Source organism: Homo sapiens, chromosome 1, assembly GCF_000001405.40.
Source record: "Homo sapiens chromosome 1, GRCh38.p14 Primary Assembly".
Classification (NCBI taxonomy): domain Eukaryota; kingdom Metazoa; phylum Chordata; class Mammalia; order Primates; family Hominidae; genus Homo; species Homo sapiens.
In genome coordinates, this window is record NC_000001.11 from 58,778,849 (window position 1) to 58,801,219 (window position 22,371).

At 43.8% G+C, this 22,371-nt stretch overlaps 1 protein-coding gene and 1 long non-coding RNA gene across 4 annotated transcripts in view, besides 6 other annotated features; one reads left to right on the forward strand and one right to left on the reverse strand.

The window, feature by feature from the left end:
* Window positions 1,943-5,199, reverse strand: JUN (Jun proto-oncogene, AP-1 transcription factor subunit). The gene has a single exon (NM_002228.4). It carries the CDS (start codon window positions 4,220-4,222, stop codon window positions 3,227-3,229), a length of 996 nt encoding a protein of 331 aa, NP_002219.1. The 5' UTR covers window positions 4,223-5,199; the 3' UTR covers window positions 1,943-3,226.
* Window positions 2,996-3,171: a silencer, noted in NCBI's record as "fragment chr1:59247516-59247691 (GRCh37/hg19 assembly coordinates)". NCBI's record gives its function as "represses an EF-1alpha promoter that drives an FKBP-Casp9 reporter gene in an ReSE screen in HepG2 liver carcinoma cells {active_cell/tissue: HepG2}" and the evidence as "EXISTENCE:reporter gene assay evidence [ECO:0000049][PMID:32094911]".
* Window positions 3,309-3,488: an enhancer, noted in NCBI's record as "active region_1090". NCBI's record gives its function as "activates an Ori minimal core promoter by ATAC-STARR-seq in GM12878 lymphoblastoid cells {active_cell/tissue: GM12878}" and the evidence as "EXISTENCE:reporter gene assay evidence [ECO:0000049][PMID:35858748]".
* Window positions 3,559-3,638: a silencer, noted in NCBI's record as "silent region_934". NCBI's record gives its function as "represses an Ori minimal core promoter by ATAC-STARR-seq in GM12878 lymphoblastoid cells {active_cell/tissue: GM12878}" and the evidence as "EXISTENCE:reporter gene assay evidence [ECO:0000049][PMID:35858748]".
* Window positions 4,897-5,644: an enhancer, noted in NCBI's record as "H3K27ac hESC enhancer chr1:59249417-59250164 (GRCh37/hg19 assembly coordinates)". NCBI's record gives its function as "activates a minimal SCP1, AML or CMV promoter by ChIP-STARR-seq in naive H9 embryonic stem cells {active_cell/tissue: H9 hESC(naive)}" and the evidence as "EXISTENCE:reporter gene assay evidence [ECO:0000049][PMID:30033119]".
* Window positions 5,159-5,418: an enhancer, noted in NCBI's record as "active region_1091". NCBI's record gives its function as "activates an Ori minimal core promoter by ATAC-STARR-seq in GM12878 lymphoblastoid cells {active_cell/tissue: GM12878}" and the evidence as "EXISTENCE:reporter gene assay evidence [ECO:0000049][PMID:35858748]".
* Window positions 5,645-6,390: an enhancer, noted in NCBI's record as "H3K27ac hESC enhancer chr1:59250165-59250910 (GRCh37/hg19 assembly coordinates)". NCBI's record gives its function as "activates a minimal SCP1, AML or CMV promoter by ChIP-STARR-seq in primed H9 embryonic stem cells {active_cell/tissue: H9 hESC(primed)}" and the evidence as "EXISTENCE:reporter gene assay evidence [ECO:0000049][PMID:30033119]".
* JUN-DT (JUN divergent transcript) overlaps window positions 6,303-22,371 on the forward strand; it is a 114,562-nt gene continuing 98,493 nt past the window's right edge. For all 3 annotated transcript variants that reach the window (NR_034014.1, NR_034015.1, NR_108106.1), the window contains exon 1: window positions 6,303-6,457. This is a non-coding gene — a long non-coding RNA (JUN divergent transcript). The remainder of the gene's footprint in view (window positions 6,458-22,371) is intronic.

Genomic DNA, 22,371 nt, shown 5'->3' on the forward strand with positions numbered 1-22,371 from the left:
ACATTAAAAGTTTGGGAGTCCATTGATGAAGAAGATAGGGTTCTGACCAGGAGACACAGAGGTTCATAATACATTTTTGTATGTGCTATCATAGGATTTTTGATAAAATGTTATCATGCTCATTAGGGAATTATTCATTCCTTTTGAAGATGGAGTTACTAAGGGAAGCTTTACAGAGAAGGTGTCACTTACGCCAAGACTTGAAGAATGGGTAGGATTTATCAGTTGAACTAGAAGGAAAGGTATTCCAGGCAAATACATGCAAGCAGAAACATGAAGGGGTGAAAGAGCATGGGATTTAGATCCATACAATGATATGTTTCTGATAGTGGGCATGTAGCTGGTCAGTTCATGGTTTATTAACCCTTTTTTTTGAGTCATGGAACTCTGGGAGGGTCGAATAAAAGCAAAAATTTCTCTCCTCAGAAGAGTGTGTACAGACACACAAACACAACTTTCTGGGCATTTTCACTGAGTTCATGAACCCTCTGTCTTGATAGACAGAGAGGGTTAAATGTCCTTGATTGAATTATTTTATATATGTAACATATATATATGTGTAAAAAAAATTAAGAGGATTAATGACGATGTGTCACCAGCTTCATCTTCTCCAACTATTAGTGTTACCTTAATTCAAAGATTAACTCATTGAAGGCCCATAATAAGCTTAACCATTAAGTGTTTATAAGCAGTTAATCTTTTGTCTCCAAAATTTACCAGAGATCATGGGTTAATTTCCTCTACCACAATTACTTTTTTCTACCCCTTTTGGTTAGAATGGTTAGAATTTCAAGAATATACATTTAGAATGTTAATTGAAACAATCAAGCATGGGGATAGGCCTGAGTTTCAGACTTTTTTTTTTTTTAACACTGAAATCTAAAGCAAACTGGGGAGTGGTGTGGCTTTTCTGTGCTGTACTGTTGTCTGGGCTTAGTCTACCTTTGCAGGTAATTAATTCCCCAGCCTGCTTATTTTTTCTAGTTGGCTCTTGTTTAGCTTCCACAGAGCCCCACCCCAAAATGCTTTATTGTCCCTCTGCTATTTCTACATATGGTCAAAATCATCTCACCTTCCGGGTTGCTGACATCGGCAAATTCAGTTTGGCAAACTGGGCTCTGCTCCCAGTAACCCTTTGTTCAAGAAGTGTTATTACAAAGGATCCGAAGCTAACAAGCCTGTCCAATCTCTTCCACTCCTAGATATACTCCTAAGGAGAAACTCTTTGTGTATTTGGATTTACAGCCACAGGCAGGATATTAGCACTCCCAGACCTACTGGGTACTAGAACACTGCTAATGAGCAAACAGCCCTGACTCAATTAGTGGTTTGTGAAATATTCCTGGATATCAAATTGCTTTTGCTGCCTGATAATCACACTGGCTCTTGGTATGAAAAGCAACCAAGCAAAAAATTGTTCCCTTGTTAAGCACTGCCTTGTTGATCTCCTAAGTTATATCTGTAGGTAGAATTCAAGTTTCCCATTTCCCCAGAGCTGAGGTTTGATTTACGCATGTAATCATTGAGTTAGTACTAGTTCATGTTTTCTCTTGTGAATCTTTTCCATAGTATTAGATTACTATCTTTTGAGACTTATTCTATATTTAAACAAGGTTGATTATTTTAGAAACAAATTAAGAAATAAGCTACAGACAGACCCAAAATGCTAAACTGTTAGTTTCCATAGGCATAGGGGTTTATTTGGGGGTGAGGTAGTAGAGAGAGAGATAGAGATGGAGAAAGAGGGAAAGAATTAATGAAATTGGGAGACTGTTTCATTCAGATCACAACTTCTAGTTTGACTCTTCCTAAATTCTTTGCTTCTTAATTTTCAAATCACTTCAGATTGCAGCAATGTTAACCTCAGCAACTAAAAATAAAAACTTCAGTATATAACTTGGGAAGAAAAAAGTAGTAAAGGGAAGCAATTCAAGATCTGTTATTGGTATTTGAATACATTTATTGTGACAAGAATGCTGTTATAAATATTCATAAGCAAAGGCCATCTTTTTATCTAGGAATTGTCAAAGAGAAGATTCCAAATTGGAAGGATACATCTTTTGTAAAATCTGCCACCAATTCCTGCTTTGAGAATAAGCACCTATTGTAAAATTTCTACTAACATTATAAATGGTCACAGCACATGCCACTTGATACAATCCAAACTTTGAAATGTTTGACTTCTCAGTGGGCTGTCCCTCTCCACTGCAACCCCCCTTCCTCCAGCCTCCTGAAACATCGCACTATCCTTTGGTAAGCAATTCCATATAGATAGCTGGGGGAGGAGGAGTATAACCTGACCATAGCATCAGGTACATCAGGTACATTTATTTCTAAAGTCTAATAGAGAACAGTTTTTACTGCTTAATAGTAAGAAGCACTGAGAGTGATTTTAATCGACATTCTTAACTCTTTCAACTCCACCTAGATAGCTAGTATCTACAGATGATGCAGAAAAGAGGTTAGGGGAGTACTTTCCAATAGTTTATTGTATTTTCTTAAATATCCTTTCTGGAATTTTCAGAAACAAAACATAAAAAAATTATATACTTTATTACAAATGGTAAACTCAGAGTGCTCCAAATCTCTTATTTACAAACAACACTGGGCAGGATACCCAAACAAACAAACAAGAAATAACTTACAAAGGCATGAAGCTGTTTATTGACAGTAATCAGCTTTCATCAAATTAAAAAATATATATATGTACATACACAGTTAACGAAGGCAGGCCAGAAAGAGTTCATCTGTAGGCTCAGCCTCGCTCTCACAAACCTCCCTCCTGCCGCCCCTCCCCAACCCTCCCCCCGCTTTGTGTTCTTAAGGAGTACTACAGAAGCAATCTACAGTCTCTATTGCAGTTTGTAACCCCCTCCCCCTCCCCCCTTTAATACTGAATGAGATCGAATGTTAGGTCCATGCAGTTCTTGGTCAATGTTAACGAAAAGTCCAACGTTCCGTTCGCGCGGGGACAGCCCGTCCGCAAAGCGGGGCAGCCCGCAGGCGGCCGCTCCCTGGCTCCACGCCAAGGGAGGGCGCGCCAAGTCCTTCCCACTCGTGCACACTGGGGGCGCCGTCAGGACGCAACCCAGTCCAACTTGGATACCCTTGGCTTTAGTTCTCGGACACTTCTTTTTTCTCTCCGTCGCAACTTGTCAAGTTCTCAAGTCTGTCTCTCTGTGTTATTTTTTTTCTTCGTTGCCCCTCAGCCCCCGACGGTCTCTCTTCAAAATGTTTGCAACTGCTGCGTTAGCATGAGTTGGCACCCACTGTTAACGTGGTTCATGACTTTCTGTTTAAGCTGTGCCACCTGTTCCCTGAGCATGTTGGCCGTGGACGCCAGCTCCGAGTTCTGAGCTTTCAAGGTTTTCACTTTTTCCTCCAGCCGGGCGATTCTCTCCAGCTTCCTTTTTCGGCACTTGGAGGCAGCGATGCGGTTCCTCATGCGCTTCCTCTCCGCCTTGATCCGCTCCTGGGACTCCATGTCGATGGGGGACAGGGGCGGTGTCTCGCCGGGCATCTCGGGCACTGTCTGAGGCTCCTCCTTCAGGGCCTGCAGCCGCGGGTGCTGCACGGGCATCTGCTGGGGCAGGTGGTGCGGCGGCTGCTGCTGCTGCTGGGGTTGCGCGGGAAAGGCCAGGCCGGCCGCGCCGTAGGAGGGCGCCCCGCCGCCGCTGCTCAGCGCGCCTGGGTTGAAGTTGCTGAGGTTTGCGTAGACCGGCGGCTCGCTGTGCAGGCTGGCGCTGAAGCCGCCGCTGCCGCTGCCCCCTGCCACCGAGGCTACCGCGGGAGCCACCATGCCTGCCCCGTTGACCGGCTGCGCCGCCGACGTGACGCTGGGCAGCGTGTTCTGGCTGTGCAGTTCGGCCAGGGCGCGCACGAAGCCCTCGGCGAAGCCCTCCTGCTCATCTGTCACGTTCTTGGGGCACAGGAACTGGGTGGGGGTCGGCGTGGTGGTGATGTGCCCGTTGCTGGACTGGATTATCAGGCGCTCCAGCTCGGGCGACGCCAGCTTGAGCAGCCCCACGTCGGGCGAGGTGAGGAGGTCCGAGTTCTTGGCGCGGAGGTGCGGCTTCAGGCTCCCCACTGGGTCGGCCAGGTTCAGGGTCATGCTCTGTTTCAGGATCTTGGGGTTACTGTAGCCATAAGGTCCGCTCTCGGACGGGAGGAACGAGGCGTTGAGGGCATCGTCATAGAAGGTCGTTTCCATCTTTGCAGTCATAGAACAGTCCGTCACTTCACGTGAGGTTAGTTTGGGCTGCGCGCACAAGTTTCGGGGCCGCAACAGGGCTGTGGCAAGCGGGGGACACCCGCGCCCCCCGGAGCCTTTGACAGGGAAAGTTTCTCTAAGAGCGCACGCACCCGCTGGCTGTCGTCCCCGCTGCGCCCTCCTCACCAGCTCGCTCCAGGGAGCGCAGGGTTAATTAAGATGCCTCCCGCACTCTTACTTGTCGACTCGCGCGCGCTACCCGGCTTTGAAAAGTCGCGGTCACTCACTGAGCGCTCTTCGTGCGCAGCGGTTCCTCGGAGTCCGCAGGCGAACTCACTTCCCAGAGCAGCGGCTCTCCCCGCGGAGCGGATCAGTGCGGACCCTGCAGTGGCCGGCCGGCGGCGGGTCTTGGCCGCCCGGACTCCGACGACTTGTCCCCTCCTCCGCTGCTAGGGGGAGGGGGCGCCCGGCAGCCGCGGCTCGCGCTCGCCCAAGTTCAACAACCGGTGCGAGCGAAGCTGAGCGCACGTCCTTCTTCTCTTGCGTGGCTCTCCGCCGCCTTCTGGTCTTTACCGCCGTGGAGAAGCCTAAGACGCAGGAAAGGCTTGCAAAAGTTGGCTCCGGGACTCTGCCACTTGTCTCCGGTCCTCCCAGCCGGGAAAGTTCTTTGCTGCTGCAGCCGCTCGCCGACTTCCCCCGGCGGGCGCGTGGGTACCGCTGCTTTCCGCCGCTGTCAACAGCGCCTGGGCAGCAGGGCTCTCCTCCCGGGGGCGGCTGGAGACCAGGCTCTCTGGACACTCCCGAAACACCAGCCCGGGAGCCACAGGCGCTAGCTCTGGGCAGTTAGAGAGAAGGTGAAAAGAAAATAAGATTTGCAGTTCGGACTATACTGCCGACCTGGCTGGCTGGCTGTGTCTGTCTGTCTGCCTGACTCCGCGCACCTCCACTCCCGCCTCGCTGCTTCAGCCACACTCAGTGCAACTCTGAGCCCTTATCCAGCCCGAGCTCAACACTTATCTGCTACCAGTCAACCCCTAAAAATAGCCCATGATGTCACCCCAAGGCCTTCCCATTGGCTCGCGTCGCTCTCAGGGGGGCGGGCCCGCCCGTCACCATGGAGACTCCACCCTAGAAGATTCTTCTCTGGGCCCGCGGAGGCTCACGGGATGAGGTAATGCTCCGCTGCCCTCCTACAGTCGGGCCCTTCTTTCTCCTACCCTCCCCCCTGCCGCACGCCTCTCGGCCCTCTCTTCCCCGGTCCCCTCCCCGGGCCGTTTTTCCCGGCCCGCCCGGTGCATTGTGGGCTGACGTCTTGGGGTTTGACTGTCTAGTGACGGTGGCTGCCGCGAGCGGGCGGACGCTCGCAACCTCTGATGGAGGGGGGCTCAAGTTCACGGCTGCGGACGGGGATGCGGGGGATGCAGGGACCCGGGAGGCCAGGGAACCTGGCCAGTTGTTTTGGGCCAGGGGTGCGGGCGAGGGGTGGTTGTTGTTTCCCCACTTGTGGGGCCCGAAGTCATCCACCGGCGGCCGCCACCGCGCGGGGCTGGAGGCTGAGAATCCAAGTACGCTGCCACCCCCCCGCACTTCCGGGGGGGCGGGAATACCGCCCTTAAGGTGGCTCTGTGAAGTCCCAGGTGGGGGCGAGCCTAAGGGGACTTAAGTTTAGGGGCGGTCTCCCGAGAGTCGGCCCCCCACGTTGAGAACACTCCGAAGTTTGCATCTCGGTCAAGTTCAGGAGCGACGGTCCGCGGGGTCGTCTGGCTGCTCGTAGAAGCCGAGAGATTTGTATTGCCCGAAACTGGACGCTCAGCTGAGTCTCCGTTGCACCCCACTTCATCCTCCGGGACCGTGGGGGAAAGGGCGCGGGGGTTCACAGCTTTGCCTCGGAGGGGCAGTTTTTATAGTGGGCGCAATTGGTGGGTAACAGGGTCCAGATGGGAACAAGCGTGTAGGCGATCCGAAACTCGGGGAACCCCGGTGTTAGTCTACTCCCCCTCCCGCCCCCGGACAACACGCACACGCTTAACACAACACGCACAACATAACGCGCGCGCGCGCGCACACACACACTCCATCCGCGCCGAGTTGCTTCCGGGAAAACAAGCCCAGAAGGCGGCGGACACTCGCATAAAGTCACGCAGTAGTACTCGGAGCCCGGGGTAGAACCTGGACTTCAAATCTCTGCACTCCCGGCCGGGTGGTGGGCGCATATCCTGGGTAGCCTCTAGGAAGCGCTAGACACATGTAAGTGGTTCCTTTTCCGCGGTTATTTTATTCTCCCCCCGCCCCCCACCCCTTAGGGACGAAAGTGTGTGGTGGAAAGAATCCCGAAGTCGGGAATCCTGGTTCTTTCGTGGCCAGGCTACCACAGTGTGAAGCAAGCAAATCACGGAACTCCTCCGAGCTTCATTTCCCTCATCTGCAGGTGGGGCCGGTGCCGTCCACCTCACTGGGCTGCCAGGAGTTAGTGTGACAGGGTCGCCTGCAGCACTAGGGAGGTGGTGGCCAAACAGCCCGCTTCCCTCCCCTGCCTCGCAGTTTCCATCCTCGCAGAGCCTGGATAGGATGCCAGGATATAAGAGTGCGATTTGGCAGGACCAGGTGTACTTTCCTGTGAGAAGCATCGAGGGGAGGAGGGGAGGGGGAACCGGGTTAGAAGTCAGATCTTTCCCAAGCCTCTGTCTAAAACTGGGGCTTGAAGTTGGACCTGCAGCAGTTTAAGTTCCTAGGTTCTAAATTCAGACTTCGCTGCTTCTGAACTTGGAATTCAGCCTTGGGTTCATTGCCCCCAGCCCTAAGGTATTTGCGGCTTTGAGTGTTCAGAAACCAACAGCAGCTGGTATCAGTGGGAAACCTGCCAACTTTTCTTCACTCCGGGCACTCACCTAGCTTTCACTGATCTGCAGAGGGTAACTGAAAGCCTACTGTGAGCCAGGCACTGAGCTGGGGAGGGGGTGGGGTAGGTAGGTATACAGTGATGACAAGATCCAGTTGCTTCCTCAAGGAGAGAACATTCTCCTCTGTCTGTTGCCCTGAATCATTTTCTGTTGTATTCAGGGAGTTGGTGTTCTAAATATTTTTTAATAACAGTAATAAAAATCAGTTTCATGTATTAAACACTTATTATCTGCCAGGCATTCTCCTAAGCAATTTAAATACGCTGTTTTCTCCCCACAACTGTCTTGAGAGACATATATTATTATCCAGATTTAACATGTGAGGAAATAGGCCCAGAGAGGTTAAGTATCTTTGTTGAGGTCACACAGGCAGCTGGAAATTGACCTCAGGTCTGTGTTACATTCCTTTGTATTTTCTCTACTCTGGCAAACTTTCTTGTGGAGTATTAGTTATCTGCAGAGGAAATAGCGCTTGTGGCATAGAAGAAATTTTCTTGCCTGATCCTCTGACTGTAACTCCGTTCAGAGCTCTTGTATTTAGAAATTTCAAGACTTAGGACTTTGCATAAATATATATCTTTTGCCTAAGGTTCTGTGTGTTCCTCTCTGCCTCATGTGGTTTAGTAGGCTGATCTTCTCCTTATGTTGAGAAATAGCATATTTCATCCAAAAAAATAACAAATCTGTTCATGTTAACGCCCCTGCTTGGAAGCCTTCATTGGCTTTTCCTTACAATCAGGAGAGTTCCGATTCCTATGCCTTGGAGAAGGGGCTTTTCACAATCCAACTCCTTCTCTCTCCAGCCTTATCTCTCACTCCCAGTTCTGTCAGGAAAGGCAGTGTTATGCTGCCCTAACAAACAACCCTAACATATCAGTGGCTTATTCCAGTGAAAGTTGGTCATTTCTGCTACATGACCGTTGTAGGTTGGCAGGGTAGCTCTGCTCATTGTAGTCACTAAAGGGCTCAGGCTGAAGGAGGCCTCGTGTTGATACCCCTTTTCACAGCTATCCTGACTGTGGGGAAGGAACTCGGAACATCATGGCTGTCAGAGCATCCACTTATGGCACACATCACTTCTGCCCATACATCATTGGCCAAAGCAGTCACATGGCCATGCCTCTTTAGATCACTATAATCCTACCAGGTGTCTCAAAGGGCTCTCCAGGAATATTTGGGGAATAACACTAAAGACTCTGTCTCCCTTTCTGTTCACCAAATGTTTGGTCTACTCTCCTTCCCCTGGTGGAATTCCCTCATTCTTTATTCAAGGGAAACAACCTTAAAGACCCATCCAGTCACAGCACCAAGCTGCCCTGCCCATTGTTTTCCATGACTCCTGGATTTGCCCTCGGAGAGTCTTCCTTTTCCACAGCTAAAGCAGGCATTGGAAAATATGCTTTTAAATAAGCTTTTAAAAGTTGGGGAGATGCAGAGTGACATTAAGTCTTGAATATGTGTAGGTAGGCTTCTTATCTATCTGATATGAGGTGTTCCATGTGACAATAGCCACAAAGTTCTTTTCCAGACATACTTCTTTGGTTTGCCATATCTCTTTGCTTTCCTGCTCTCCTGCCTGTTGACTCCTCTGTCTCTCTTTTGCCGTCTCACTCTCTTGCTCTTCACTTGATTTTGAGCACTTTGGGCTTATTGGGTTTTGATGGGAGAGTTAGACCTTTCTTCCTTTTCCCAGAGCCATTTTGTCCAGTTGAAAGTATATACTGGGTAAGATCTTAATTGATCCTTTTTTTTTTTTTTCTGAGACGGAGTTTCACTCTTGTTGCCCTGGTTGGAGTGCAATGGCACAGTCTCGGCTCACTGCAACCTCTACCTCCCGGGTTCAAGCGATTCTCCTGCCTCAGCCTCCTGAGTAGCTGGGATTACAGGCATGCGCCACCACGCCCGGCTAATTTTGTATTTTTAGGAGCGACAGGATTTCTCCATATTGGTCAGGCTTGTCTCGAACTCCCGACCTCAGGTGATCCGTCCTCCTCGGCCTCCTATCCTGAGGTTTTAATAGTAGGTTCATACTTTGTGACTTGATCCTTACTTCAAAGCTTAGTTTCTTCCAGGTCCTTTCTTGCTAAAAGTATTTCTTGATTTTATATTTTACCAGTCGGGACTGGGAAACAATTGCCTCTTCTAACGATGTAAATCCCTGGATTTATAGGTTTTCTCTATTCCATTTCATTCCTGATTGCAAACAGGCCAAATTTTTCTGAGTTCATCTTTGAATAGCTTGTAGTAACTTTCAGAATGCATCCAACAGCCACCAACACACACTACTCACTCTCTGTTTTACAATCCTTTTCTTTAGTTCATCAGGTTCATGATCTGCCTTCTACATTATCACAGGTGATATGTTTACCAAACAGATCACCATCCCTTCAGCTTCTGATAGCAGTGTTCTTAGTTATCGCCCTCTAAATGATTGTTTAGTTTTATTGTTGTTATGCTTATTGTTGTTATTACACTAACCCATATCTAGGAGCCAATTTTTATATGAGTCAGGATGGTTTAGGTTATGCTGCCATAACAAACAATCCTAAAATTTCAGTGGCTTAAAAATAAATTTTATATTTTGCTCATACTACATGTTCAACTTCACGGGGCTCTGCTTAATGTGCTCATTTAGAAACCTAGTCTGAAGAAGGTTTCATCTTGATACATGCTTCAACAATCATCGCATCAGTTTGGCAGGGGAAAGAAAGCATGGTGAACTCACATTGGCTTTAAAAGCTCCCTCCTAGGAATGACACTTTTTATTGTATTTACATATTATTGGCTAAAATTAGTCACATGGCCATGCCTTACTTAAAGGGTGCAGGAAAGTGCAATCCTACTAGGTACCCGGAAGTCAAAGAGCTGGAAATGCACACCTCCATATACTCTAGGTTATGCTGTGTTAGCCATCCAAAAATCTTACTGGGTTACAATCACAGAATTGTTTCTCACTCATATTGCATGTCCACTCATATGGTTTGGTTGTGTCCCCACTCAAATCTCACCTTGAATTGTAATAATCCTCACATGTCAAAGGTGGGGTCAGGTGGAGATAATTGAATCATGGGGTCAGTTTCCCCCATACTGTTCTCATGGTAATGAATTAGTCTCATAAGATATTATGGTTTTATAAATGGGAGTTGCCCTGCACAAGCTTTCTTGCTTGCCACCATGTAAGATGTGCTTTTGCTTCTCCTTTGCCTTCTGCCATGATTTTGAGGCCTCCCAAGCCATGTGGAACTGTGAGTCCATTAAACCTCTTTCCTTTATAAATTTCCCAATCTCAGGTATGTCTTTATTAGCAGTGTGAGAACAGACTAATACATCCACCATAAGTTGGCTGTGTCTCTGATTTACACACATGATCTTTGCTCAAAGACCTTGGTTAATGAAGCACGCTCTTTCTAAAACATTACTGTTATTGGCAGACAGAAAAAAGCATAGCCCTTAAAGCTTATACTGAGAGCAATTTATATGACCGAGCCTGATGTCAGTGAGGAGGGGCAGCAAGTATTTTTGAATAGTATTGCAGTCTACCACACCCTGCACTCCACATTCCCTCCATTCCTTTGAGTCGCTGCCACCCCAGACATTTTCCATCGCTCTGACAGTTTCCTGTCTTTGCATGTACGTTTATCCCTAATCAAAAGGCTACCTGGCAAACTCCTATTCACCCTTCAGGAGCCAGCTCAAATAATCACTACCTCTGAAGCTTTCCCTCACCCCATCTCCTGCTTCACCTCGAATAGTTATTATCCTCTTTGGCTGTCACCATACTGGGTACATACCTGAAGTAGAGAATGTTTTTCACATGATCTTGTAAATGTCTTCTTAAATCCCTGACTCCAAATCCAGCAACTGTGTCTTATTCTTATTTTGTATCTCCAATGCTTAATACAAAGCCTGGCATATGAAAGCATAGAAGGTGCTCAGTAAATGCTTGTTGATGGATTTTTTTTAAATAGCCTTTTCCATAGTGGAATGAAGGGGGTGTTTTAATGATTGAGTAGCAATAGTACCTTGTTTTAATACATAATATGTGGAAAATGTCAAATTCCCCTGCTGAAGCCTCCTTAAAGGCATCCTATTAGCTTAAAAGAGCTAGGACTTCTCATCTCACTTTTCTCCAGCCACACTGCCTTTGGCTGAATCAATCAGGATAGCCTAAGTTATGCTATGATTAAGAATATTTCCAAACCTCAGTGACTTAAGAAATAAAGTTTTTTTCTTGTTCCTATATGTTCATATGCTATAATTAAATCATTTTTTTCCCCCAAACCTCAGTGACTTAAGAAATACAGTTTTTTTTTTCCTTGCTCCTGCAATATGTCCAGCAAGGGTTGGCAAGCACTCTGATCACATCACCTTCCTCTAGGACCCAGGCTGATGGAACACCCACTTTCAGGAACATTTCAGATCTCGTGGTAGAAGGAAAGGCAGCTTTGAAGGGTCTCATCACAGCAATTAAGTGTCTTTTCCTAAGAATGTCACATGTCACTTCTCACACATTCATTGACTAAAACTAGTCTCATGGCCCAGCCCAGCCAAGCCACAAGGGGACCAGGAAGCACAATCCTATGGTGACCAGTCCTAATGACTCCCACACTAGCCTTCATTTGTTCCTCATATAAGACAAACTATTTGTTGTCTAAGAACCTCTTAACCCTTCCTTGTTTTTTGGCCAATTTCTATCTTTCTTTGGATGTTAGCTTAAATGACAAAGAGACTTTCTGTGATTTTTCCTAATGTGCCCTCTCTCCATGTAAATTAGATTTCTCCTTATACTCTCATAAGTCCCTATAACTTTTCTTTGAGAAGGATTATGAATAACACCCCTTTCTCACCTTCTGGAGTTAAGAACCAGCTGAGAGTTAGACACAGGAATCAGATGAGTGGGGATCAAAATATCAATGTGAAAGCTAATACAGACTGGTTTGGAGGGTATGGCAAACAGGAAGCCACAGTGGATTTTCTGATTGTCTTAGTCTCTTTTGTGTTGCTATAAAGGAATTCCTGAGGCTGGGTAATTTATAAAGAAAAAAAAAGGTGTATTTGGCTCATAATTCTGCTGCTTGGAAAGTTCATGATTGGGCATCTGCATCTGGTAAGGGCCTCAGGCTGTTTCTACTCATGAGAGAAGGTGAAGGGGTTCTGGGTGTGTAGAGATTACATGGGCAAAAGGGAAGCAAGAGAGAAAAGGGGGAGGTGCAAAGCTCTTTTTAATATCCAGCTCTCCTGAGAACTAATAGAGCTAGAAGAACTCACTCCCTGCCTCACCCCAGGGAGGGCATTACTCTATTCATGAAGGATCTGCTCCCATGGCCCAAACACCTCCCATTTGGCCCCACCTCCAACAGGTGGGAATCACATTTCAACATGATGTTTGGAGGAGACAAACATTCAACCCATAGCACTGATGTTTCACCCATGCATTAAACTTACCTACTGGTTCCTGGCTATGATGGACAGTTGCAGACCTTCTCCAGAGGTACAGTGAGTGTATACATCCTTTGGATGAATTGACTCTGAAAAGTGAGAGCCGGTTTCTGAGTGGGGCATGCATGGGTCTTTCTTGTGAACTCAGAAATCAGATAACTCAAATTACTTTTCTTCCCATGGGGACTATATATAAAGGATGGAGAGAAAGGATAAGAGGGTTATTTTAGCAGATGTCCCATCATGGAAAACTGAGGCAAGGGAAATGGTGATTTTCTCTTAACAATAGAATGTTTTAAAAAGTATTATTCTATATTTCTTTATGTAATTATGTATTTTTTTAAACTGTCTTATTAAAGTCCATTTCACACACTAGATGCCAAGTGTCAAGAATATAGAAAAACTGTATCTCTTGGTCTCCACTGTATCCATAGCATCTAGCATGCTTAGCACAGAGAATATACCCAATACATCTTTTTTATACATCGGAGCCCTTGTGGAAGTCCTTTTGGATTTTCTTCAAGGTTTTTGTCAAGGAGGAATGTGTAACTGTTGCGTACATTATCACACTTATGGTGATGCCTTTTCTCTACTCAGAACTTCTACAAAACCTATAGGATCATAAAGTGGCAAGAGTCCTTAGTGGTCACCTTCCAAGTCCTGCCTTTTTTCCAATGCAGAAATTCCTTTGCTAGCATCTTCACTACTTAAATACTTCTAGTCACAAAGTAAGGACACAATGCCCAAAGCCAAGAGTAGTAATTCTACTAAATGCTACTGGTTGGACACCATTGGGTCCCATCTTTGGGAATATTGTGGGCCTGAAATTTGGAAAGCAATTTGGCCAACCACAGATATCTGTGGGAAGGACAGCCAAATGGTGAGAGGCCTGAAACCTTGTCTTGTGGAGAAGAATTGAATGAACTGGGATTATTTGCCTGGGAGAAGTGTGGGTTGGAGAAGGCAGGGGGAAGACCAATAGAGCACCCATAGGAGTCTCTGTAGGTTTTGAGGTCAGAGCTAGGCTAATGGTTAGAAGTTAGAGAAGAAAACTTTCCTGTATTTAAGAAGGAACTTTCTGAAGTTAAAATTATTTATCAATAGGATAGTTGCCTTAAAAGTAGAATTGTAGTTTCCCTGCTCAACATGTATTTATTATCTACTATGTGCCAGAAACGATGCCATAAATTATCATTTATGATAATTCCTTGTCAGCTCATTGTACTTATAGTAATCATCATTCTTATTTTCAATGTTCATAAAAGCCATCTTAAAGAATCTCATTTAGAATTCTGGAGTGGTAATTAACATCACTGTTTCTCATTTCTGGAATTGACCTTTTTTTACCTTCAAAATTCCTAAACCTGGAATGATACATTCTCATGTCCACTATTAGATGGATATTTTTCTGTCAAAAAATGGGTGTTTTCAGTATCCATAAATCAAAATTACCTGGTCTTGGGATCACTTGAGAAGATTAGGTACTCCCTTATCAGCTGTGGCGAAGAACTACAAAGTTTTCACCAAACCTCTTTTCTTTTCCTCTTGTATGTACAGATAGACTACATTTCCTGGCCTCCTTTCTAAATACCTGTGGCTGAGTTTTAGTCAATGCAGTGAATGTGCTGTGTATCACTTACAGGCTTGGCTCATAAAACCGTCTCTCCCCATCTCCTCGTCTCTGTGTCTCCAAGGTCGTAGAGAAGGGCAGGTCCACAGATAGAAGTAGTCCAGATCTCTGAATAACCATGTGAAAGGTTTCTTATCGACCAGAAATATTCTCAATAGGATTTTGATGGAATGAGGAATCAACTTTATTGCGCTGAGCCACTGAAATGTTGGAGCATATGTGTTAAAGCTGCTGTTTTATTTCAGTTAGTGCTGCAGGATACCCTCAATGAAGAAACAAATGTGGAACTGAACTTAGGGATTTTGTTCTGCTCTTTCTAGTTTGAAGAAAAGTAGTGGAGGAGGCAGAAGAAAAGAATATAGCATTTAATTGTGCTGAGGTTCCTTTTACAATGCTTTCTTCCCATCTAATTTATAAACTTCATGAAGCATGTTACCATGTCTTACATACTCTTCCATATTTAATCTTTCAGTGGGTATTTATTGAGAACTGTAAGGTGCTTTGGGGATTTCAGAAGAAAAATAGATAGCATATATTGTTAACTATTTTACTCATTTATTCAAAAAATTTTGAGCATTTACTATGGGACAGCCTTTGGTAATCCCTGGTGAACAAAAGCTATAGTACCTGCCCACAAGTTGGGGTCTAGCAAGGAAAGTAGAATAAAGAGGCAAGACTAGTCCAGTATGGCAATGCTATGAAAAACAAGGAACAGGATGCTCTAGGTTCCCTGGGGAAATCTGACAAGGGTCAGGGTCAGATAATTGTCCTCTAGGAACTGAGCCCTCCAAGATGAGTAGGAGTAGCCAGAAAAAGAGGAGATAGTGGAGAGAGAAAGAATATTCTGGGAAGAGGGAGTGCATATACAAAGGCCTGGATATTATTGAATATGGGGCATGTTTGGAGGGACAAAAAGGTAAACTGGGAAGAAGAATGGAGAGAATGAGCCTGAGAGGAAGGTCTTGTAATATATGTATGCATGTACTTAATAAATGCATTCAGAAGGCTTTGTGTGATGTACAAGTATAATATGTAATATGGGTATGCATTTACCTAGAAGGAAATATGGCTGATTAACCATTAGGATGTCAATGGTTGTGATTTTTGGGTAATTTCCACTTTCTTTCTTATGTTCTCTGTTTGTTTTAAAATTCTCTACAACGAACATGTATTCCACATGTAATTTAAAAAAATCAGAATACATGTTTCTTTTTCTTATTAGTCGTGACTGCACCTGCTGTCCCTCATTGGATCCTCACAGCAGTCTTCTTTGCAAACTGAGGTTCAGAGCTGATACATGGCGAAGCTGGAATTAGACTTCCTAATGTCCCATTTATTCTAATTTCCTCTCCATTTTGCCTGCCTTCCCTGCAGTTTTCTAAGTAGCAATGATGGTTTTTCTTGGAACTACTGCCTTTTAGCACAGTGTTGCCTGTTTGTGTGTATGTAGTTTGCAACATGAAGAAACTGGGTCAAAGTTCTTATAATACTGACCTACCTAGGAGGCTTCCCACACACAAAGGATGGTCCTCAACCTACTGGGTTAGGTAGACTTATCTTTTCTGTGATATTATCATATCCTTCGCCAGTTATTTGGAACTTGAGGAGGAGGCTATTGATAGTTTTTAAAAATACAGTTAGGGAGGTGATTATTCCTGATTATTTTATCAACTCACATCTTTATTGACTAGCATGTTGGTGCTTGACCAAACCAGTGATGATGAATATTTGTAATGAATGACAAAACACTTGAAAGTCTGGAAACATTGTGTTAGCATTCTCTAAATCATGTTGTGGCAACAAACAACCCCCAGCATCTCAGAGGCTTAAAACAACATGAGTTTATTTCATATGCATGTTACATTTCCTTCCTGATTTACACCTTAGGTCTTTACTTCGAGACCCAGGCTGAAGGAGCAGCCTCTGTTTGAGATATTGCTGGTGTATGTTACAGACGAGGGTGAGAGCTGTCACCATGGGGTGGCTCTTAAGGCTTTACCTATGGGCATTTCCACTCACCTTTCATTGGCCAAATTGTGTCACAGTGTCACAAAACCAAGCCTGAGACAGGGGAAGAAGAGAAGACTTGATAGGGAGGGGTAGCAACAATTTTGCAAACACTTTCAGTTCTCTGAGTCTCAGTTTCTTTACCTGTAAAGTGGAAATAAGACAATTATGGAATAGTCAAACCATGGAATATCCTGTAGCCATTTTAAAAGGAGCTAATTAACCTTATAAAGATGAGTTGACCTAGAGGAATGCCCATGATGTAGCAATAAGTGAAGAAAGGAAAGTTTCAGAGTAATGTGCATAGCATGGTCTCATTTCTGCACAAATTGAAACACCTATATCTGAGTATGTCTGTTTATGTGAGAATACCAATAAAAATAGCTAATGTTTAATGAGTGCTTTCTTCATATGCCCAGCACTATGCTAAGTGTTTTTTTTTAAACATGCATTTGCTCCTTTAATCCTTGAAAAAAAAAACAGCAGAAAGTTATATACCAAATGGTTATCATTAGTAGCCTTAGTCAGGGGTGGGATTAGAGAGAAGATTTTATTCTCTTTAAAAATTAGATTTCTGTAAATTTTTACTTGTCACAATAGGTAGGTTAATTAGCTCTTCTTGTGAAACAAACCATCGCAAAATCTGAGTGCTACGCAATGTTAATCAGTTGATTTCCTGCTCTTTGGTCTGCAGGTCAGTTGAGGTGGCTTCACCTTCCTAAGACCTAATTTGGTGTTCTGTCCTCCCCATTACAGCTGCCACCCTTACAGTTTTCTAAGTAGTGATGATGGCTTTTCCTGCAACTGCTGACTTTAATGCATTGTTGCATGTGTGCGTAGTTTACAACCTGGAGAAATGGGGGGCTGAGGGTCACATTCAAATGTGCTCCATGTGTCTCATTCTAGAACTCATCCTAGAGAGGTCGAATCTACCAGGGGCATATTCTTCTCAGGGGAGACACTGGGGTAAATGGAAGCATGTGAAACTTTTTAAGGCCAGGCTTGGAACTGTTATGATATCATTTCTGTCCACGTTCTATTGACTGAAGCAAGTATCACAGCTAAGTTCAGTATCAGTAGAGCTGGGAAGTCATAGAGGTTGCAGAAGGAGGGAGTGAATATTGTAATATATCATAATAAGCATAAATTAATTTCTTAGTTAAGAAACAGAAACAAAAATGAAACAAAGAAAAAACTAGTAAAGTGAAGAAAAGAGAACACTTATTAGTGATAGTTTAAATTGTGTTTGATATATTGCAGTTACATAATGCATTTCTTAAAAATACAAAGTCCTTATCTACAGTTATAATGAGCACAGTGGTATTAACGTGGACATTTAATTAACCAGAATACTCACTATCTAGTAGGACAGGTACGAATTTACAACAGCTTGGCTTATGCTATCTGTGGTGTGACATTCTAAGCATAATCCAGAGACTGTTTAATGGCAATGTGTCTATGTTACTGCTATTTGTATGGCCATCTGCAACCCAAGGAACTGAAATCATGAAATCAGATTTTTAGACCTGGAAGGGCTCTAGTGCCCATGTAGGCATGTGCTTCCTAAGTTACAGGAATAACTGCTTTTGCCAGTTATAGTTATTCTCTCTATTGGGTGTGTCTCACATTACTGGAAAATGGTTATGGAAATCAAAACTCTGTCATTTAAATAATGAAGACACTGAGCACCCCAGCCATAACTTACTTGAGTGATGTAGTAAGTTAACATCCAAAGATAAGATGGAAACCCAGGTGTCTTGAGTAGTCCCAGGGTCTTTTACTTTGTTTCTCTGCACAACACAAACATCAAGCATGTGGATCATTTGGGAATATTCACTAGGCTCTGAAAACTTCCACTACTCTCTTAAAAATTGTATGGATTCTTCTACTGCTTCCTTTATTCTAAGAGAACCCAAGCACTTCTTACAGCAACTACCACAGAAACACCAAATGACACAGAATATTGAAATAAAGGGTAGCATGTTAAATTTCTTACAATACTGCCCATGGAATCGGATTTGTTTTCATTTCCTTTTTACTCTAAATAATTTAGAAAATATCTGCCAATACACCTTATGGGAACCAATCACATATACAAAAATGTTTTATTAAGGAATTTGTTAGGATTAAGATTTGTGCTTCTCAAGTTTCAGTCACTTACTAATCATTGTTTCCATTTTGCTATATCCACTTACATGTCTAAAATCAATTTAATACTTTTCTTTAAATGGACTCACTTTTTTAAAACTCAAAGACAAATTTTATAGGAGATGATGAGTACTATTGTAAATGGATAACAAGCATCAATTGCCATAAACATTTAGACAACTATAAATATAATTACAAAAGTATAAAATAAATGTGTCTATCTACCACTGAAAGTCATCTCTTATTCTATAAGTAACAGGCCTTTTTCACTGATACAGTGAAAAGTATGGATGGACTTTGCAATCAGGAAGACTTGGGTTTGAATCTGAACTCATTCCCTTCCCGCTATTGTAATCTTTGGTAATTTCCTTAAACGTCTCACCACCAGTTTCTCATCTGTAAAATGGAATAACAAAAGCTATCTCCTAGTGTGTGTGTGTGTGTGTGTATGTGTTTACAAAGCACCCAGGGTTATTCCTAGCTCATAGTAGGAGCTCAAAAAAATTTGGTTACCTTTTTGCTTTCCTCAATATTTCTTTCTTTATTTTTCAAAATGACATTCATGAACGATATTGTTAGCTAGAGGAATGCTATGGGGACAGTGTTAATTTTTCCCAGAATTACTTACTGTTTGATTGCCTACCATGTGCTAGGAACTGTGCTAAGTGCCATGGGTAAAATGAAGACTGAATAAATAGACTTGGAGTTGAAGACTTGGATTCAAGTCCTAATTCATCTCCATTGAATAAGTCATTTAATATTTCAGAGCCTCAGTTTTCTCATCTGAAAAGTGAATGTGGTGATTGACATTTACTTCAAAGAACTTATGTAAGGAATGCCATGATAGCTTATGGGAGAGTCTTTGGTGAACTGATAGAAGCATTTCTGTTGTAACATTATATACAGGTTCCTGAAATAGTTTGTGTTCTACAGAATTGTACATTAAAAATAACAGGACTTTATGCAGCCATAAAAAATGATGAGTTCATGTCCTTTGTAGGGACATGGGTGAAGCTGGAAACCATCATTCTCAGCAAACTATCGCAAGGACAAAAAACCAAACACTGCATGTTCTCACTCATAGGTGGGAATTGAACAATGAGAAGACATGGACACAGGAAGGGGATCATCACACACCAGGGACTGTTGTGGGGTAGGGGGAGAGGGGAGGGATGGCATCAGGAGATATACCTAATGCTAAATGATGAGTTAATGGGTGCAGCACACCAACATGGCACATGTATACATATGTAACAAACCTGCACATTGTGCACATGTACCCTAAAACTTAAAGTATAATAATAATAATAATAATAATAATAATAATAATAATGAACGTAAAAAAAAACAGGACTTTTGCAAAAATAGGGTTGGGTAGACCACAAAAACCTGTACAATATTATGACCACAATGCTAAGATTAGGATATTTATCCTAATAAAAATAATAGAGCTAAGAAGACCTGTTAAACTTTGAATAACTAAATAGATACACAAATGCATATATGCTATAGCAAATTTAGGACTGTACTTTAAAACTAGTGAAGGTTGCTTGATGGAAGGCTTAAGGAAGGGATGAGGCTGCTTAGTTGTGTAGGCAAGGGCAAATGTTCAAAGATCGGAAAGCACCATGCTAAAAGCTCTTCCAAGAAGGAGCATGTAGACAAACAGCCCAGCATGATGGGGCTGGAGTGGGTAAAGGCATCATGTCCAGTATTCCCACTATCCATCTCTCTGTGGCAAATGTATTCAACCATGCTAGTGTACCTTCTCCTCAGCTGCTGCTCCTTGGTGCAACAAATCTTTGACATCCTGGGAAAAATCAAGCAGCTTGCATGTTATTGTGCTATCATTCCTCTAGTTATCAGTCTTGCCTTGTTTTATAGTAACATGTGTTACAGGGTCATGTGTATAGCAGAGCAGTCCACAGATGCAGATGAGGGGTTGTAGCTCTCAATGAATCGCAGGCTTCATGAGCAGAATAAGCAATGACTCTCAGAGATATAACAGAATTCAATGAGAGACATGAGTCTCTCCCTCTGTCCCTCCCTCCCTTTCCAGCCTGACCAGGCTACTATCCACTCCCCTCCTTGGTTTCAGGTTTCCTTTTCTTAACTAGCTTGTGAGCTTCTTGAGAGAGGGCTCTGTCATATTCCTCTATGTGCTCTGAGGGCCCAGCACAGAGGCCCCAGAGCAGAATGTTTGCATTACAGTTGAACTTCCTTTTGTAAGTTGAGAAAAATCCAGGACCCACTGAAGAAGTTCCAGACTTCATTGAGGGCATCAGATCCACTGGACCACCATGAGGCCAGGATGGAGACACTACTGGGACAGGGACAGTGTTTCATTCAGTACTATCTCCTGCATCTCTGTTGGTCCCACGTGACACGGGAACTGCTCAGTGGGTCCCAACCCTACTTTATCCAGGAGAGGGACATGATGGGGCTCACAGAACAGCCTCCTTCTCAGCCCTCCTTCATTTCCCTTCCTTGCCTTCCTTCATTCCTGTCCTCCCTCCCTTCCTTCATTCCTGTCCTTTCTGCCTTCCTTCATTCCTCTTATCCTTTCCTCCTTCCTCTCTCCCAAACTCTTTCCTTCCTTCCTCCTGTCCTTCCTTCCTGTCCTCTGTCCCTTCCTTCCTCCCATCCTTTCTTCCTTCCTCCTTCCCATCCTCTCTTTCTTTGTTCCTTCCTTCCCTTTTTCTTTCCTCTCTCTCCCTTCTTCCTCCCTTCCTTCTTCCTTCCTTCTTTCCTGTCTTCCCTCCCTTTCTCCTCCTTCCATCCTTCCTTCCCTGCCTCTCTTCTCCCCTTCCCTTCCCTTCCTTTCCCTTCCTTCCAATTTGTTGAGCCCCTATTCCATGCCAGACGCTAGACAAGGTCCTAGGGATAAAGTGGTGAGCAAAAAGGCATGAAATCTGTCTTCACAGTGCTTCCATATTGCCTGTAGTTTAAGAGCTTAACCTCTGAAGCCAGATCTCCTCAGTCTGATACTTGACCCTTTCCTTTACTCACTATATGAACTTGGTGAAATTCCTTTCTGGATATCAGTTTTCTCTGCTGTCAAATGAGGCTCATGACAACCTATTTCAGAGAGTTATCATGAATGTTAAATTAATTGATATGTAAAGTACTTAGATTAGTACCTGACACAGTAAATGCCCAATAAATATTAACAGGAATTGCTAGTGTGATAACTGCTATATAGAGACAATAAGTCAACAAATCAATATAAAATCACAAGAAGCAATGTGTGTTATGAATGCAAAGAACTGGGTGAGACTTGCCTATAACTTAGAACTATGTTTTCCCTGGGGTGTAGCTCTGGAACTAGTTGAATATGTAAACATTATCTGACCAAAGAGTTGGCAAATGATTGTGCCTATGGATCATGAAGATCTCTAAATATCCTCTGATTTTGAAGAATAACATTGGGAACCTTTTTAAAGAGAATGATCAGATAGGGCCTCTCTGAGGAGGGGATGTAGATAAATGGTATAAACACTGAAACTGGCAGAAGGAGGGTAGTGTAAGAGAGGCATTACAGTTGGAGGAGAGATGGGAATGGTCACAGGCAGGAAAAAGCCACCAACAATGATCAGGTGTTGAGGCCTTTGCCCTGTGGGGTCTGTGCTTGGCCAGTTTTATTAAAAGAATCTTTGTTCCTTGACTGCCACTTAAAGTGTCACTCTATGTGCAGTCCTCCATTAGGGCTTTTGCATACTGGAGACCAGGCAGTTACCTCCCATATCTTGATGATTCTAGCACTCATGTCAGGTTATTACCATGAGCCCCTCTGTCCTGCCTGCTGAACTCTGCACCACTATGTCGGCTAGGCCATTGTTTCATTTATTATGTTAGGCTTGAGAAAATTTAAGAAAGGAAATATAAGAATAGACATTTCTAGGTACTTTGGTCTAAATTCAATCCCAATCCTTAAAGGTGGTTTGGCTTGTTTGTTTGTTTTGACTTTAAGTTCTGGGATACATGTGCAGAACGTGCAGGTTTGTTACATTGGTATACCTGTGCCATGGTGGTTTGCT